At 45.4% G+C, this 16,909-nt stretch overlaps 1 protein-coding gene and 2 long non-coding RNA genes across 6 annotated transcripts in view, besides 2 other annotated features; 1 reads left to right on the top strand and 2 right to left on the bottom strand.

Annotated features, from left to right (window-relative positions):
• The window catches only part of FUBP3 (far upstream element binding protein 3), a 58,776-nt gene extending 47,810 nt beyond the window's left edge, over nucleotides 1-10,966 (bottom strand). For all 4 annotated transcript variants that reach the window (XR_007061369.1, NM_003934.2, XM_005272232.3 and 1 more), the window contains exon 1: nucleotides 10,779-10,966. Coding sequence is in view for 3 of the 4 variants with exons in the window: in NM_003934.2 (NP_003925.1) it covers nucleotides 10,779-10,862 (84 nt within the window). In the remaining variant the exon portion in view is untranslated. The remainder of the gene's footprint in view (nucleotides 1-10,778) is intronic.
• Nucleotides 664-1,164: an enhancer, noted in NCBI's record as "H3K27ac hESC enhancer chr9:133464766-133465266 (GRCh37/hg19 assembly coordinates)". NCBI's record gives its function as "activates a minimal SCP1, AML or CMV promoter by ChIP-STARR-seq in primed H9 embryonic stem cells {active_cell/tissue: H9 hESC(primed)}" and the evidence as "EXISTENCE:reporter gene assay evidence [ECO:0000049][PMID:30033119]".
• On the bottom strand, nucleotides 8,457-10,703 carry LOC124902286 (uncharacterized). The gene is made up of 2 exons (XR_007061818.1): nucleotides 10,295-10,703; nucleotides 8,457-9,884 (listed from the first exon to the last, which is right to left on the bottom strand). It is a non-coding gene; the product is annotated as an uncharacterized LOC124902286 (long non-coding RNA).
• Nucleotides 10,649-11,018: a silencer, noted in NCBI's record as "silent region_20402". NCBI's record gives its function as "represses an Ori minimal core promoter by ATAC-STARR-seq in GM12878 lymphoblastoid cells {active_cell/tissue: GM12878}" and the evidence as "EXISTENCE:reporter gene assay evidence [ECO:0000049][PMID:35858748]".
• Nucleotides 11,049-13,193, top strand: LOC100272217 (uncharacterized). Its single transcript, NR_027440.1, has one exon. It is a non-coding gene; the product is annotated as an uncharacterized LOC100272217 (long non-coding RNA).
• The last annotated feature ends 3,716 nt before the right edge of the window (nucleotides 13,194-16,909 follow it).

Below are 16,909 nucleotides of genomic sequence, written 5' to 3'. Positions count from 1 at the left end.
ACTCTGCTACCAATTTTCTACCACACAAGTTATTTTCCCCCTTTTCAGGGGGAGGCAAATGGGTTATCTCACTACCCATGCTATTTTAAGCACAGTGATAAATGAAAAACAAATCAACGTCACAGACACTTAACTACCAGTAGTTAGTGGAAACTCAGAGAAGGAGAGCACTGGACCAGGAATCAGTCAACAGTCCTGATTTTCCAGCCAGTTCTTCCCGCATGTGACCTTGGGCAAGACCTTTAAGAGCCTTGCTCCTTGGTGTCTTCACCTGTAAAATGCAGAGGCAAACTAAACCAGTGTTTTCCCAAGAAAAATGCACAAGGTGATCTTGGGAGATACACGGATGAATGTTTTTAAAGTTCCATTGTTCTCACAATTACCTTCTATGCATGACAAAGTTTTCCACTTATGATACTGACTTAGTTCCCTTTTAAAAAACATTTTAGGGGCATGTGTTCTCAGGATCTCCTTGGGGGTATGTCACAGGCAAAAAAAAAAAAAAAAAAAAAAAAAAAAAATTAAATAGGCCGGGTGTGGTGGCTCATATCTGTAATCCCAGCACTTGGAAGGCTGGGGTAGGAGGATCGTTTGAGCCCAAAGTTTGACATCAGCCTGGGCAACATAGTGAGGCTTTATCTCTACAAAAACAAAAACAAAAAAACCTAGCTGAGTGTGGTGGCGTGAGCCTGTAGCCTTAGCTTCTTGGGAGGCTGAGGCAGGAGGATCCCTTGAGCCCAGGAGTTCAAAGTTACAGTGAGCTATGGTTAAGCCACCACACCATAGCCTGTGCAGGTACAAGACCCTGTCTCTTAAAAAAAAAAAAAAAAAAAAAAATATATATATATATATATATATATATATATACACACACATACATACATATTTAAAATAAATCTGGCTGGGTGCAGGGGTTCATGCCTGTAATCCCAGCACTTTGGGAGGCCAAGGCTGGTGGATCACTTGAGCTCAGGAGTTCAAGACCAGCCTGGCCAACATGGTGAAACCCCGTCTCTACTAAAAATACAAAAATTAGCTGGGCATAGTGGTGCATGCCAATAATCCCAGCTACTCAGGAGGCTGAGGCAGAAGAATTGCTTGAACCCAGGAGGTGGAGCTTGCAATGAGCCGAGATCGAGCCATTGCACTCCAGCCTGGGGACAAGAGCGAGACTCCATCTCAAAATAAATAAATAAATAAATAAATAATGTAAATTTAAGAATATTAAATAATGTATTGAAGGTTCAATGATACGGAAAAAATCATAAAGGTGGTACACAAATCACTAAAGTTAGAAAACATGACAATTAATTATTCCCAGTACACATTTTCAAGACTAAAATTCTCTGACAAGTTTCATAACCAAAGTAGGTCACCTTATAAATCCAAATAAAAAGTTGCACATAGCCCCACAACTTCATACTTACTAGAACTCTATACCAATTAGAAACAGGCAAAGCCACCTGAATGCCATCCACATATGTGTCCCTGCTACTCAACAGGGATCCTGTTGATTGGCATGGATACAGCAAGCAGAGGTGAAGGCTCACACCAGCATCGAGGGTGTGGGACCCAACTTGCTTCCCCAGAGCCTGCGCGGCACAGCCACCCAGAGAGGTCCTGCCTGGGAGAAAGGTAGGTTGGACTGCAAGACTCTACTCCCCACAGTGGGAGGAAACAGTATGCAGCCAGGGAAGTAGCCCTGTGGCAAAGAACAAGTTCCTAAGACAGGTTTGGAGTCATGGGCCGCAGGGGCAGGTCCCAGTCCTGCATCCCACTACCTAATGTTACAAAGAAGACAGTGCATCAAACATACTGCCTACTAAGTGCCTGACAGTGCCCTCATTTAATTGTCACAGTGACCTTCTAAAGTAGCTACTATTCTCCTTACCGTGGGACTTGGAACCAGTTTGCCTGGAATTGTATCCACAGGGATAACAAGATAACAAATGTAAAGCACTAGAAACAATGCCGGGTGCACAGTAAGGAACCAGAAATGCTTGCTATTTTAACCTCTTATTGCAGAACAATGACACAGAAAAATACATGGATCATAAGTTTATAGCTCACTGAACTTTCGGACACTAAAATACCTATGTAACTAGCACCTAGATCAAGAAACATCACCAGGACCCCAGAAGTCTGCCTCATGCCCCCTTCAGTCACTACCCACCCCACCAACCAGGGTAACCTCCTAATTTCTAACAATATTGTTTTTAAAATTATTACTATCATCAACTATTTCTGTATTACAGATGAGAAAACTAAGACTGAAAGAAGTTAAATAACTTGTCCAAAGCCAAACTAGTTAAGTGGCAGAACCAGAACTTGAACTCATACTGTCTGAAGCTCAAGTTTGTCTCTTAATAATCACATCACAATGCCACTCCCCGGGAGTTTTGTGACCATCAAATGAAAGAACATATATAAGAATCCTTGCCTGGCACCCAGCACAACATGGGCTCGATGAATGAGAACTATTGTTGTCATCAGAGATGGGGCCCCGGCTGATCCTGCCCTGCTTACTTGCAATAATTGAAATAAAGAATTCTATGACAATTGAATAAGATGCAGCTCTTCTTGGGAGGTTTTCCTGACAACCTCATCTCTCCTATGCTTAGGCAGAATTAAATACTGCCACATTTGTGTTAGCAGATCACCTTACAAACTACATCTAAATAGCATACTCTCACCGAGTATGTTATGTTGGTTACACTGTCTCCCCACTATGAGAGCTGAGGACTGGATCTGTCTCCATCATCTTGGTACCCTTAAGACAAAGAGTCCTTAATTAGGAGCCCCAGGGTTTAGTTTTAGAGAATTCATGACTTCCCAAAATTACATCCCAAACTATTTAAATATTTCTAGGGAGTGGTTCAAAGTTTCAAGAGTCTCAAAAAGGTCCACGTTCTGAAAAAGTTAAAGAACTTTCCTAATGCATAGCAAAATGCTTGGCACAGAGAAGGTGCTCATTAAACACCTGCTACATTTAAAGTGGGTATGGAGAGGCCCACTTGTAGGCAGAATGCTAAGATGATCAGGTGAGGCTCTATGCTGAAATACTGTTCCAGGTGGGTCACTCCCACCAAAGGCCCTAAATGTGACACTCCCATTGGCTTTCCCCTTCCATTCCATCGAATTCCACCAACAATCCTCCAGTGATCTGTTTAAAGACTGACAGGCTGGGCTGGGTGGCTCACACCTGTAATCCCAGCACTTTGGGAGGCCAAGGCAGGTGAATCATGAGGTCAGGAGATTGAGACCATCATGGCCAACATGGTGAAACCGCATCTCTACAGAAAATACAAAAATTAGCTAGGCGTGATGGTGCACGCCTGCAGTCCCAGCTACTTGGGAGGCTGAGGCAGGAGAATCACTTGAACTCAGGAGGCGGAGGTTGCAGTGAGCCGAGATCATGCCACTGCCTTCCAGCCTGGTGACAGAGTGAGACTCCATCTCAAAAAAACAAACAAACAAAAAAAAAAAACAAAAAACGCCGGGTGCAGTGGCTCACGCCTGTAATCCTAGCACTTTGGGAGGCCGAGGCAGGTGGATCACAAGGTCAGGAGTTTGAGACCATTCTGGCTAGCACGGTGAAACCCCGTCTTCACTAAAAATACAAAAAATCAGCCAGGTGTGGTGGCAGGCACCTGTAGTCCCAGCTACTCAGGAGGCTGAGCAGGAGAATGGTGTGAACCTGGGAGGCTGAGCTTGCAGTGAGCTGAGATCACATCACTGCACTCCAGCCTGGGTGACAGAGCGAGACTCCGTCTGAAAAAAAAAAAAAAAAAAAGATTGCTGCTTCAGCCACCTCATTGAGATGAAAAACCACCCAACCACCTCTGCTAAGGAACCAAGTCCTTCCTAAAATGCAGAGGGCATGGGTCCAAGAACTGCTGCATATATTACCCATGTGCACCTCTGAGAAAACTGCTTTATCTCCCTCTGGCTCATTATTTTCAAATATAAAATGAGAATTAATAGCCCTTATTAGCTGGGTGTGGTGGCAGCTACTGGGGAGGCTGAGGAAGGAGGATTGCTTGAGCCCGAGAAGCAGAGGTTGCAGTGAGCTGAGACTGCGCCACTGCGCTCCAGCCTGGGTGACACAGAGAGATCCTGTCTCAATTTACAAAAAAAAGAGAGAGAGAGAATTAATAGCCCTGGTCCTATCTTACCTGATGGTTGTAAAGACTGAATTCCGCAATAAGATAAAACCACTTACAAACTTGTCTTACTTATCTTTGCACTGGCCCAGCATCCAGCAAGGGGCCTTGGACTCAGCAGATCTTCAATTAATGGTAAGTAATCTAAATCAAATCACTACTTCCAATCACACTACTCAGTCTTGCAAGTGATTTGTAACCATCTGGTATTAGAATAAAAATGTAGGCTGGGAGTGGCGGTGCATGCCAGCTACTTGGGAGGCTGAGGTGCAAGGATCCCTTGAGCCCAGGAGATCCAGGCTGCACTGAGCTGTGATCGTGCCACTGCATTCCAGCCTGGACAACGTAACAAGACCTTGTCTCAAGAAAACCCAAAACCAACAAACAAAATCTTTATAATAAAACTCCAAATGCAGAACATTTTCAATTGGGATGATTCTAAGATAAAGTTATCAGAATAAAGACTACACAGAAAAGGAGAGAGAAGGGAGTATGAATAGACAGCAGACATAACATAAGAAAGCACAAGAACCAAAATAACATGGTGAGCTTTTTCCAGATCCAGTTAGATGGATGCTCTGAATGTCTAAGGGTTTGAAGGGACTGCTGAAATTATCTAGCTCCACATTTCCTGACGTTTGATGCACAGAATGTGATTTGGTTCCATGGAAAGAGGGCACGAAGTGATCTAACTTCAGGACATTTACGAAACACACCCTAAACCCTGTAGGAGTTAATGCACATAAGCATGTTAAAGGTTCTGAGAAGTCCTACAGTAAAGAAGCCAATTCACCTTTATTTAATCCTGCATTCCCCAAACTTAACTGCCCATGATCTCTTTTCCACGGAAGATCTTTAAACAGCCTATAGATCAAATGCTAGGAAAGCCCAACCCAGCCCAAGGTCATGCATCGGCTTACAGGCAACTCAGACCTCCTAACTCTCAATCCAGAGCTTTCCATTAGAAATTTCAAATAAAAACCAGAGGCGACTGACTCACAATTTACAAAAAGATAAGTAAAAAACTGTCAATTAGGCATCCCAAAGAACAGTATAAAACAATAGCAAGATGGCGGGAATGAAGACAACCCGGAGAGTGTGAATGCCTCATGTCAAAAACGCAGCAGCTACTCAGCTCCTGCTGATTATCGCTGTGCAGGCTGTGGGAGCAGTGTGGCCAGATCTTTTCTAGGGAAACCAGAAATCTTTTTTTTTCTTTTGAGACAGAGTCTCACTTTGTCGCCCAGGCTGGAGTGCAATGATGCAATCTCCACTCACTGCAACCTCTGTCTCCCAGGTTCAAGCAATTATCGTGGTTCAGCCTCTCGAGTAGCTGGGATTACAGGTGCGTGCCACCACACCTGACTCATTTTTGTATTTTAAGTGGAGGCAGGGTTTCACCATGTTGGCCAGGTTGGTCTCATCCTGACCTCAAGTGATCTCCCTGCCTCGGCCTCCCAAAGTGCTGGGATTACAGGCATGAGCCACAGTGCCTGACCGAAACTTTTTTTGGGATGGAGGCTTGCTCTGTTGCCCAGGCTGGAGTGCAGTGGCACCATCCCGGCTCACTGCAACCTCCACCTCCTGGGTTTAAGCAATTCTCCTGCCTCAGCCTCCAGAGTAGCTGGGATTACAGACATGTGCCACCACGCCCAGCTAATTTTTGTATTTTTAGTAGAGACGGGGTTTTGCCATGTTGGCCAGGCTGGTCTCAAACTCCTGACCTCAAGTGATCCACCTGCCTCAGCCTCCCAAAGTGCTGGGATTACAGGCATTAGCCACCATGCCCAGCCCGAAATCTTGCTCTCTCTTTTTTTTAATGCAAAATCACTCTAGTTTCTTTTGTTTTTTGAGACAAAGTTTTGCTCTTTTCACTCAGGCTTGAATGCAATGGCACGATCTCGGCTCACTGCAACCTCTGCCTCCCAGGTTCAAGCTATTCTCCCACCTCAGCTTCCTGAGTAGCTGGGATTACAGGCACCTGCCACCACACCCAGCTAATTTTTGTATTTTTAGCAGAGATGGGGTTTTGCCACGTTGACCAGGCTGGTCTCGAACTCCTGAGTTCAAGTGATCCGCCCACCTCGGCCTCCCAAAGTGCTGGGATTACGGGTGTAAGCCACCGTGCCCAGCCAAAAATCACTCTAGTTTTTAAGTGTTGGTGCTGGGTGGGTCAAACAAAGCATGCCTGCAGGCCCATAGTAAGTCTTCTATAGCTCACAGGCCACAAGTTTGAGAACTGTGGTCTAAGTAAATTTCTATTTATGAAATAACTGGTACTTCAGAAGAAACCAAAGTTTGGTAATACACATGGGCTATCAGATTTTAAAATAAAGACAGCCAGGCATGGGGGCACGGTGCCTCACACCCATCCCAGCACTTTGAAAGACTGAGGTGGGAGGATTGCTTGAGGCCAGGAGTTCGAGACCAGCCTGGGCAACATAGTGAGACCCTGTCTCTACCCCAAAATAATTATATTATATGATAAATTATCACATTATAAATGTTCTCATCTGCAAATGAGAAAAGCCTTAGAGACATACAGTGGAATATATAGTTTATTTACTATCTACTTTCCAATACCCAGTATGAAGTTCAGCACTTCCATTAACATGTGGTGGCGCACACACACTCAGTGACATCACCAAAACCCTTTAAGGAAGACTCACTCCGCCAGGTACTCTACTGGGTCCCAACAATGTAAAGCTACAGGAGCAGCCCGTGGATTTCCTGCAGACACTAGTTTCCTTCAAGTGTTTATGAAAGCTAAAATGAGTGTACAGGCAGGAGTTAGTCCCTTGTGAAATGATGACTTGAGCTATTCAATCACTGGACATGTACAAGACAGTCTCAGTGGAGTACCACTTAGATCTCTTGAGTGTTCAGCACACTTGACTGAGCCGGGAGTCAAAACCATGTGTTAAATGAGCCTCGCAGGGCGAACCCACTGGCCAATGAATGGAGGCTTTTTCTTTTAATGGTAGATGTACAGTGTTCTCTTAAAAGGAAACCTAGTGCTTGTTCTAAGAAGTCAGAATCTTAAAGCATTAAAGTTCTAAATCAGCCCAGGGTATACAACACACATCCCAAATTACCTACTGCTCAGGCTTAAACTGTGAAACAGCAGCACTGGGAGAGATTTTCAGGAGGACTGTGGAACTTCTGAGGCCCCACACCAATCAACATTTCCCCAAAATAGGTGCCAGTGAAGAAGAGGTTCGGGCCTAAAAATCTGTCAAAAGGTTACTTTCTACTGATTCTACAATGGCTTGGTCACACTCATTTAAGTGTAGTGCTACCGTGATGCCGAACGAACTCTATGAAGCACCATTTAGACTGCATTCTGTATCAACATTATATGCTGTAGTTATACAATCCAGAGGCATTGAGTGGGTCTATCTAGATCAAAACAGATCTAATGCTTTTTAAAGTCCTAAAAAGTATTAGTAGTTTCTCGGAGAACAATTTCTATTTAGGCGACGACTGGCAGACAGCTAGCTGGTCCAGCTTGTGGAAGGCTGCTGTCAACCTATAATGCACTGTGGCATCACACTCTCCTAACAAGGGATTGCTCACGGGTGATGACAGGTGCTACTAAGTTATCAATGGTAGACCTTCTAGGAACATTTAAAAATATTTTTAGGAGAATGGAACAACATAAACCAGACTTGGATCTACTCATCCAGAGGTCCCCTTGTAACCTAGGCAGACAGTCAGTATAGAAGTGCAGAGGACGGCTGTGGAACAGGATGAACTACTCAGGATTTTGTCTTATCTGAACTAGTTGAAGAAACACTACTTCTGCTAACCAGCCAATGACTTGGGAAAAGTAGACAGATGTTTTTTAATATCCAGCAGTTTTTAGATCTTCATCCATGGAACTGAATGAGATCACATTTCTTTCTTTTTCTTTTTCTTTTTTTTTTTTTGAGACAGTGTCTCACTCTGTCACTCAGGCTGGAATGCAGCGGAGCAATCACAGCTCACTGCAGCCTTGATCTCCATGCTCAAGCTAGCCTCTTGCTTCAGCCTCCCAAACAGCTGAGACTGCAGGGGTGGGCCACCACATCCAGCTAATTTTTTTAATTTTTAGTAGAGACAAGGTCTCGCTATGTTGCCCAGGCTGGTATCAAACCCCTGAGCTCAAGCCATCCTCCTACCTCAGCCTCCCAAAGTGCTGAGATTACAAGCATGAGCCACTGTGACTTGCCCAGATCACATTTCTACTACCCTATAGAATGGATGTAAATTACCTGCTTGTGCCAAACATTAACTCACTAGACTTCACACTGCTGGAGAAAATGTTTACATTTTATTTGACATCTTCAGAGACTTCTTTTCAATCTAAGAATACCATGCTCAGAGTAAACTAACAACTGATGCACTTTGCTGCAGAGTCCAAAGGATATACACGGAGGCTTCAAGATGTCAGAGGGAAAGCCTAGTTGATAAGGTGTTGGACTTCACACACCAAACTTAATAGAAACTGCAGGTTCAAATCCCAGCAGGGTCAACTGAGAGTATTACGATCTGCTAGAAAAACTGAGCGTGAGACACTTTACTGCTCTTTGACAAATTTAAGAGGGCCTTCCAGACTGTCTCTGGAGTTTATGAGGAGACATAAAAGGGGAAAAAGCTTTGCGTTTAAATAAATATACTGTCTTTTAGTTCTGTTTAATGGGGAGAAAAATCACATCTCTGTAACATGCTGTGTATATAACAAAGAAACAGAACTATCACCTTCCAGATACCCAAATGAGATCCTTACAGTAAGTTTACCATCAGCATACAGTATTACAGATTTCTAACATTCCGTTCTTGCCCAATGCAAATCTATATACAATAAACCTAAAATTACCCACCAACCTGGTTTTTCTTTAGTTTTTAAAGGCCATCAAATCCTTGGAGATAGTATGGACCTCCAGCTGTTAACATTCAGAAGGAACACACTTACAGCCCTGTCTCCATTGGGCTTATTACTGCTCCAGTCAATGGTGCATTTCAGAGCTGAGAACAATTCCAATGAAGTTTTCACTGCTAGTAGTAAACACCACTGCTTCAACAATCCACATTAGGTCAGCATTTACCAGAGGGTCTCCCTCTGGAGCAGGTTGTCCAAGAATATGAGTTCAACCACTGGCTCAAGAGAAGCGGAATGTCTTCTCAATGGTTCAAAATTCACTTTATGTTCAACTACAGGCCTTCTGCAAACTGAGGATCTGAGCCCTTTAGGGCAGTGACTATAATTCTTCCCGGACATAGAAGGCCAACAAGGTGACTGTCACACATCAGCACAGAGCGAAAGCCATTACATATTAGTAGCCAGTGAGAAACAAGGTTCAGGACCCTGTACTGTAGAGGAGAGCACTGTAACACGCCAGCAAGCAGAGTGGTGGAAGGGGAGCTGGGTGGCATGTTCATCCATTACAGCCATGGGTGGATCTGAAGTCTAAGTAAGATGGATACTCACTACTGTACTGGTTGGCAGCTAGGCAGTAAAGTAACAATTCATCAGATAAAATTTTAGGTGGAACCACAGGTTTGGAAAGTTCTGGGATCCAATATAATGTCTATAGGAGCATCAATATATAACATGAAAAGTCAGTTATCAGGGAAACAGGTAGGGTTCCCTCCCCTGGAATACTGGAAAGAGATGTAAAGACCATATCTTCAAGCGCCCGAGTGAAGACCTTCTTCTAATACAATGACTCCTGTGGCTTTCTGTTAGGAATCAAGCAGTAATTAGTTATAGCCCAACTTTTAAAGTATCAGTGCGCTTACAATTACATAAGAAGAGAGGAGGACATAAGACACTTAACCGAGGAAGCTGAAGTGTTAGGGCTGACTTGTAAGTAAGTTTTAGATACAAATGAAGAACACGTTCTGTTCTAAGTACCATGCCAGAAGCCAGTAAGTATTTTTGGCAGGTCCCATATTCACTCTCTGGGGAAGCCTGGAGCCTTCTAAAACCCAGTTAATTTAACTTTGATTAAATGCACGACATTGTCAGACAGTAAAGTTTCAATGTCGGAATGAGGCCATATCATTCTCCCCAGTAGAGGCAAGCTTGCCATGAGAAATTTCTACATCTTGGGGACCACCCCCACACATGTAACACCTCCCTCTCTCACCTCTCCAAAGAGCACCCTCACATATAAGATGCCCTCGAGTTCCTTCTACTCAACAGAAAGTCTAAAGACGATGTTCCCCAAGTTTTAACAAGCTACTGGGCGTCAGACAGCTGCTTTATGTCTACACCCAGATCCTCCCCGTGGGCTTCCCGGACCCCTCCCCTCGCGAGGTTCAGAACCCCGCGCTAGCTACACTGTGGGTCCAGGCTGGCCGCTGGGGCACGATGGGGCCAGACGCTCTAAGCAAACCCTTTCCCAGCGACTTCAGGCACCTGGGAGACCCGCCCGACAGGCCGGGCCTGGGCCTCGCAGTGGCGCCTTATCCCCCCGGCTCCTCCCGGCTGTAGGAACTCCACGGAACGGCCCGGCCCGGCTGAGACGTCGGTTCAGGCTGCCTCCCGCCCCCCAGGCCCGAACCCCTCTTCCCCGCCCGCCAGGCCCCGCCTCGGGATCTCGTGCTCCTGCCAGCCGGCTGCGCCCGTACCTGCCGGACCCGGTGCAGGGCATCCACGAAGCCCTCGGCCTTCATCCCCACAGGAGCGCTCTGCCCCTGCACCAGCTCCGCCATTACCGCCCCCGCCGCCGTCGCCGCCGCCGCCGACGCCGCCGACGCCGCCGCTCGGCTCCCCGGTCCGGCCTCCCGCTCCGCTTGGGGACCCGTAGCCGGAAAAGGAAAGTCGCCCTACTTCCGGCGGAAGGGAAAGCCGGGACGCTCGCAGCTGGAGGAGTCGCGTCTGCGGGGCGGGGTCAGGGCACGTGACCTTCGACCGATCGGAAGTGGGGGCGGGACGGCAGCGCCGGGGTGGGCTCAGATCGCCAGGCAGCCGTGGGTCTCCAGGGTCCGGTCGCGACCCTTCCCTTCCCGGGCGGGATTTGGTCCAGGACCGTCGATGGCGTCTTGACAGGTCCCCGAGGCTTGGATGTGGTCCCGAGGTGTCCGCTGTCGGCCGTTTGGAATCTCAGAGGGACTGACGTGGCTCTCCCAAGACGGCACCCCGAACAGTCGTGGTTCATCAAAAGCCTGGTCCTGGGTAGCCCCTCCCTGAAATGGCTGTTGGTTGGGAATTTGGGGGCTGAGCGCTTTGAAAGGGCATTGGGACAGCATCACAGAATGTCAGTGTCCCACATTTGCGAGGAGTCCCGGGCCCCAGTTCTTACACTGCAGTTTGCATGAGGATGGGCCACCGCCACTTCCGCCTGGGGTTGTCTGGTGATGCCCCCAGGAGAGACGCGCCCACTGAAAAGCCAGCGTGGTGTCCTCTTACACGGTCCTTAACAAACTCTGGGACTCTGGGGGTGCAGGAAATACCACAGGACCGTCATTACTCCCATACCGGCTGAGTCACAACTGTATTGCAGGAGGCTTCTTGGAACGCCTATGTAACTTTAATGGAAGTGACCAGGTACAGATCTTCTACAGCAAGGAAGGAATCTTAGTGCTAGAATTCAGTTGAGCCTTTGAGTTGGCTCTTCTTATAAGTGAGCAAACAAGTAACAAGGTTTAGGGGGCGCCCATTTTTGTGTTAGCACGATTGCCCTCGTGTTTAATATTTCCCAAGCCCTATTATGATAAGGAGTTGGACTTAATGAAGAACCATGTTGTCAAACATCTTATGCCCATCTTGAAGTTGTGAAGGAGGATGAGCACCAAGAAAAGGAAATAAATAAAATCCAATACGGGCCGGGTGCGGTAGCTCACGCCTGTAATCTTAGCAGTTTGGGAGGCCAAGGCAGGCAGAACTCTTGAGCCCAGAAATTCAAGACCAGCCTAGGCAGCATAGTGAGACCCCGTCTCTACAAAAAATATAATTAGCTGGGCGTGGTGGCAAACACCTGTAGTCCCAGCTACTTGGGAGGCTGGAGTGGGAGGATCACCTGAGCCCTGGAGGTCAAGGCTGCAGTGAGCTATGATCACGCCACTGCAGTACAGCGTGGGTGACAGAGCAAGACCCTTTCTTGGGGAAAAAAGTCCCATATAACTTTCCTTGATGACCCCACCCTCACCCCTCACTGTGTCATTATGCCAAGAGAGCTTTGGGCATTCTAAAGAAGTATGAGGAATACTTGACCAATAACCAAAGTATAGTTATTTATTTGTTAATGACTTCTTTCCTAGACTGTGAGTTACTTTAGAGCAGAGACTTATTTTTCCCTGTATCCCTAGGGTGTGGCACATAGTAGGTGCTTAGTAAACTTATTTTGCATTCAATAATGCCAAGTAGAATAATTCATAGATTATGGCAAAATAAAAGAATTTGGCAAAATTGCAAGATTGAAGATTGCTTTCAGAAAAAATGTTCCAACCCCTGTTCAAAAGTACATAGCTTGCTGTGTTGTTGAAGTGCCAGCACGAGGAGGACCATGCCAACACATCCATTTATTGCCCATTCTGGGTGTGTTGAGCGTTTTAAGTTTGCTATGCTTGTAAAAATCAAGGAATGGCAATGGTATCAACTTTCATGAACACAGTCGTTCAGCTGAACCAAGTATCAGTGATAACTTCTGTTTTGAATTTTAGAAATATATCTCTGAGGTTAGAATGTTGATTCATGCATATTCCAGCTGGCTTTCCCTATGAGTATAAATAGGGAAAACAAGGCTATTGGCCCAAATGTAAGTTGTATTCCAAGGTTTGGTCCAAAGACCAGAGAATCCCTAAGTAGGAAGACAGTTTTGTTTTCCCCTCTTTTACTGGTTAACTTTGAGCAGGTCACTTATATTTGGGGGCACAGAAGATGAAGATGACCCTGAGCTTGTCATGTTCACTGTTAATTGTTCTACTAACACCCTAGACTTCATCATCTTGTTATAGCACTTATCACAGTTGCTTTTAAATCATCATGCAGTTATATGTTTATTGTCTGCCTTTTCCACTAGAATAAAGCCTCTGCTGACATAAGGTCTATGTTTGTCTTGTTAATTGCTCTCCCTACCACCTAGCACCAATGCCTGGCATTTGGTTGGCTCTCAGTATTTGTGAAATGAATGAATGAGATGATCTTGTCCAAAGAAGACAGGGAAAGATTCTTAGAGGTTAAAAAAGAAAAATTCGGCCGGGTGTGGTGGCTCACACCTGTAATCCCAGCACTTTGGGAGGCCGAGGCGGGCAGATTACCCGATGTCAGGAGTTCAAGACCAGCCTGACCAACATGGTGAAACCCCATCTCTACTAAAAATACAAAAAGTAGCAAGGCGTGTGGAGGGCACCTGTAATCCCAGCTACTTGGGAGGCTGAGACAGGAGAATCGCTTGAACCCAGGAGGCGGAGGTTGCAGTGAGCTGAGAATGTGCCATTGCACTCCAGCCTGGGCAAGAAGAGCAAAACCTTGTCTCGAAAAAAAAAAAAAAAAAAGCCGGGTGCAGTGGCTCACAGGCGGATCACCTGAGGTCAGGAGTTGAAGACCAGCCTGGTCAACATAGTGAAACCCTGTCTCTACAAAAAAATACACACACACAAAATTAGCCAGGCTTGGTAGCGGGTGCCTGTAATCCCAGCTACTCGGGAGGCTGAGGTGGGAGAATCACTTGAACCTGGGAGGTGGAGGTTGCAGTGAGCCGAGATCGTGCCACTGCACTCCAGCCTGGGCAACAGAGCAAGACTCAGTCTAAAAAAAAAAAAAAGAAAAGAAAAATCCACATACTGTGGTTGTGACTAGTTTTGCAAACCATTCCTATTGATAACATTGCAATGCCTCTAGATATTACCAACTAGAAGCCACGCTAAAATGAAACTGTATCAATGAGGAGAGTCTAGGTTATGCTACAGTAACAAGCCTTAAAACCTCAGTAGCTTACAACAATACAGGTTATTTCTCACTGGATACATGAACATGGTGTTGCCTCCACTACGTGTCCTGTTTACTCTTCAGCCAAGGCTGATAGCAGCCTCTGTCTGGAACATTAAACTTTATCAGGGCAGAGGAAGAAGCGAGTGACAAAGCACGAACTGGTTTTTAAAGCTTCTTCCTCAAATGCTAGGCACTACTTTTGTTCATGTTTTATTGGTTGAAGAATGTTTGCCTGTTGTCAATAAGATGCAGAAGTATGAAGCATACATTGGCTTTTAAAGCTTTTGCCTAGAAGTTGGTGGCATATGGCACTTCTGCTCACATTTAATTGGCCAAAGCAAGCCGTGGCCAAGCACTGATCAAGTGGCAGAGAAATATAGTCCATCTCCAGGGAGAAACAGCAAATATGTTTGAATAGTAACATGATTTTTCAAATACATCAAGAGAAAAAAATAAGCATGGAGAATGTTGTACAGTAGATTTTAAAGGATATAACATGGGTGGTTTCCAGAATTCGTTAACTACCCTAAAGACCCTCAGCATCTGGTCATTTGTAATTTGGGGAAGCTTTGCCTTGCCATCCCAAGATCTGCGTTGTTTATATCTCTGAGGCAGAAATAGCTTATAGCGATAAATCGTGAGTGAGAGAATTCTCCATTTAGAGATTTTCACAGGTCCCCAGAGCAGACCTTTTCCAATGTCAAGTGTCCACTGGAATTTCAAGTGCAGACTAAGGAGCATGTCAGCATGAAATCTGAAAATTTAAAAATAGAATTATTAAGACTCTCCAACACTGACTGAGGGATACAGGCATGCCTTGGAGCAATAGGAGTGATCCAATGATTGGAATAGTTCTCTTTGTCTTAGCATCTGAGAGTAAATTAGAATCTACCTTTAATAGGGAATGCATATGTATATGTATATATGTAATTGTCACTTAGTGATGGGACTATGTTCTGAGAAATGGATCATGATGTGAACATCTCAAAGCATACTTACACAAACCAAGATAGTATAGCCTACTACAACACCTAGGCTATATGGGGTAGGCTATTGCTCCTAGGTCACAAACCTGTACAGCATGGTACTATATGGACTACTGTAGGCAGTTGTAACACAGTGGTAGGTATTCATGTATCTAAACATAGAAAAGATACAGTAAAAATACAGTGTTATAATCTTTTTTTTTTTTTTTTTAGACCGAGTCTTGCTCTGTCTTCCAGGCTGGAGCGCAGTGGCATGATTGTGGCTCGCTGCAACCTCCACCTCCCGGCTTCAAGCAATTGTCTCTACCTCAGCCTCCCAGGTAGCTGGGATTACAGGCGCCCACCACCACACCCAGCTAATTTTTGTATTTGTAATACAGATGGGGTTTCGCCATGTTGGCCAGGCTAGTCTTGAACTCCTAACCTCAGGTGATCCACGCTCCTCAGCCTCCCAAAGTGCTGGGATTACAGGTGTGAGCCACCAAGCTCGGCCCAGTGTTATAATTTCATGGAACCACCGTCAAATATGCTGTCCATTGTTGACAGGAAAGTGACTGTATATCTCCCCGATTCCACCTTTGGCCTCGTACCACCCTGCTGGTACCATAGAGTAGTGCTACACTCTCAAGTAAGTTCAAAGAAACTTAGTAAATTTGGCTAGTAAATTTTTTGGTACCACACTTTTCCAAAACAATCTATTCGGCCTTCACACTTTAAAAAAAAACGTTATTTTTTAATAGAGACAGGGCCTTACTATGTTGCCCAGGCTGGTCTTGAACTCCTGGGCTCAGGCAATCCTTCTGTCTTGGCCTCCCAAAGTGCTGGGATTATAGGCATGAGCCAACTCAGCTGGCCCCTCAAAATTAATGATGTAGCTAGTTATAGAGCTCTGGATTGTAAATAATTCTCCTTTAGAAGACCGAAGGCATCTCTTATTGTCTTCTAGCATCTCATATACATATATACATATATATACATACATATATATACACATACATATATTTTTTTCTTTTTTTTTTTTTTTTTGATATTGAGTCTCACTCTGTCACCCAGGCTGGAGTGCAGTGGTGCAATCTTGGCACACTGCAACCTCCTCCTTCTGGGTTCAAATGATTCTACTACCTCAGCCTCCCAAGTAGCTAAGATTACAGGCATGCACCACGATGCATGGCTGATTTTTGTATTTTTAGTAGAGACGGGGTTTTGCCATGTTGGCCAGGCTGGTCTCCAACCCCTGACCTCAGATGATCCACCCACCTTAGCCTCCCAAAGTGCTAGGATTACAGGCATGAGCCACCTCGCCTGGCTCCAATATTTCTTTAAACAGTTTTATTGCTGGGCGTGGTGGCTCACGCCTGTAATCCCAGCACTTTGGGAGGCCAAGGAGGGAAGATCCCTTGAGCTCAGGAGTTTGAGACCAGCCTGGGCAACATCGTGAGACCCTGTCTCTAAAAAACAAAACAAAACAAACAGAAACAACAAAGTGCTTGTACCATTTTTCAGTTTTTTTCATTCTTGTAAGCAACATGTGAACATTCCAGTTTTCCAGTTTCTTTACCTACTTGACAACATTTGAGTCTGGTCAGCATTTTAAACTTTAGCCTTTTTTTTTTTTTTTTTTTTTGAGACGGGGTCTCGTTCTGTCACCCAGGCTGGAGTGCAGTGGCGCAATCTTGGCTCACTACAACCTCCGCCTCCTGGGTTCAAGCGATTCGTCTGCCTCAGCCTCCTGAGTAGCTAGGACTACAGGCGTGTGCCACCATGCCCGGCTAATTTTTGTATTTTTAGTAGAGACGAGGTTTCACCATGTTGGCCAGGCTGGTCCCGAACTCCTGACCTCG

This window comes from Homo sapiens, chromosome 9, assembly GCF_000001405.40.
Source record: "Homo sapiens chromosome 9, GRCh38.p14 Primary Assembly".
In the NCBI taxonomy this organism is placed as follows: Eukaryota; Metazoa; Chordata; class Mammalia; order Primates; family Hominidae; genus Homo; species Homo sapiens.
Note: the sequence above shows the minus strand (reverse complement) of the source record. Positions and strands in the feature narration are given on the sequence as shown.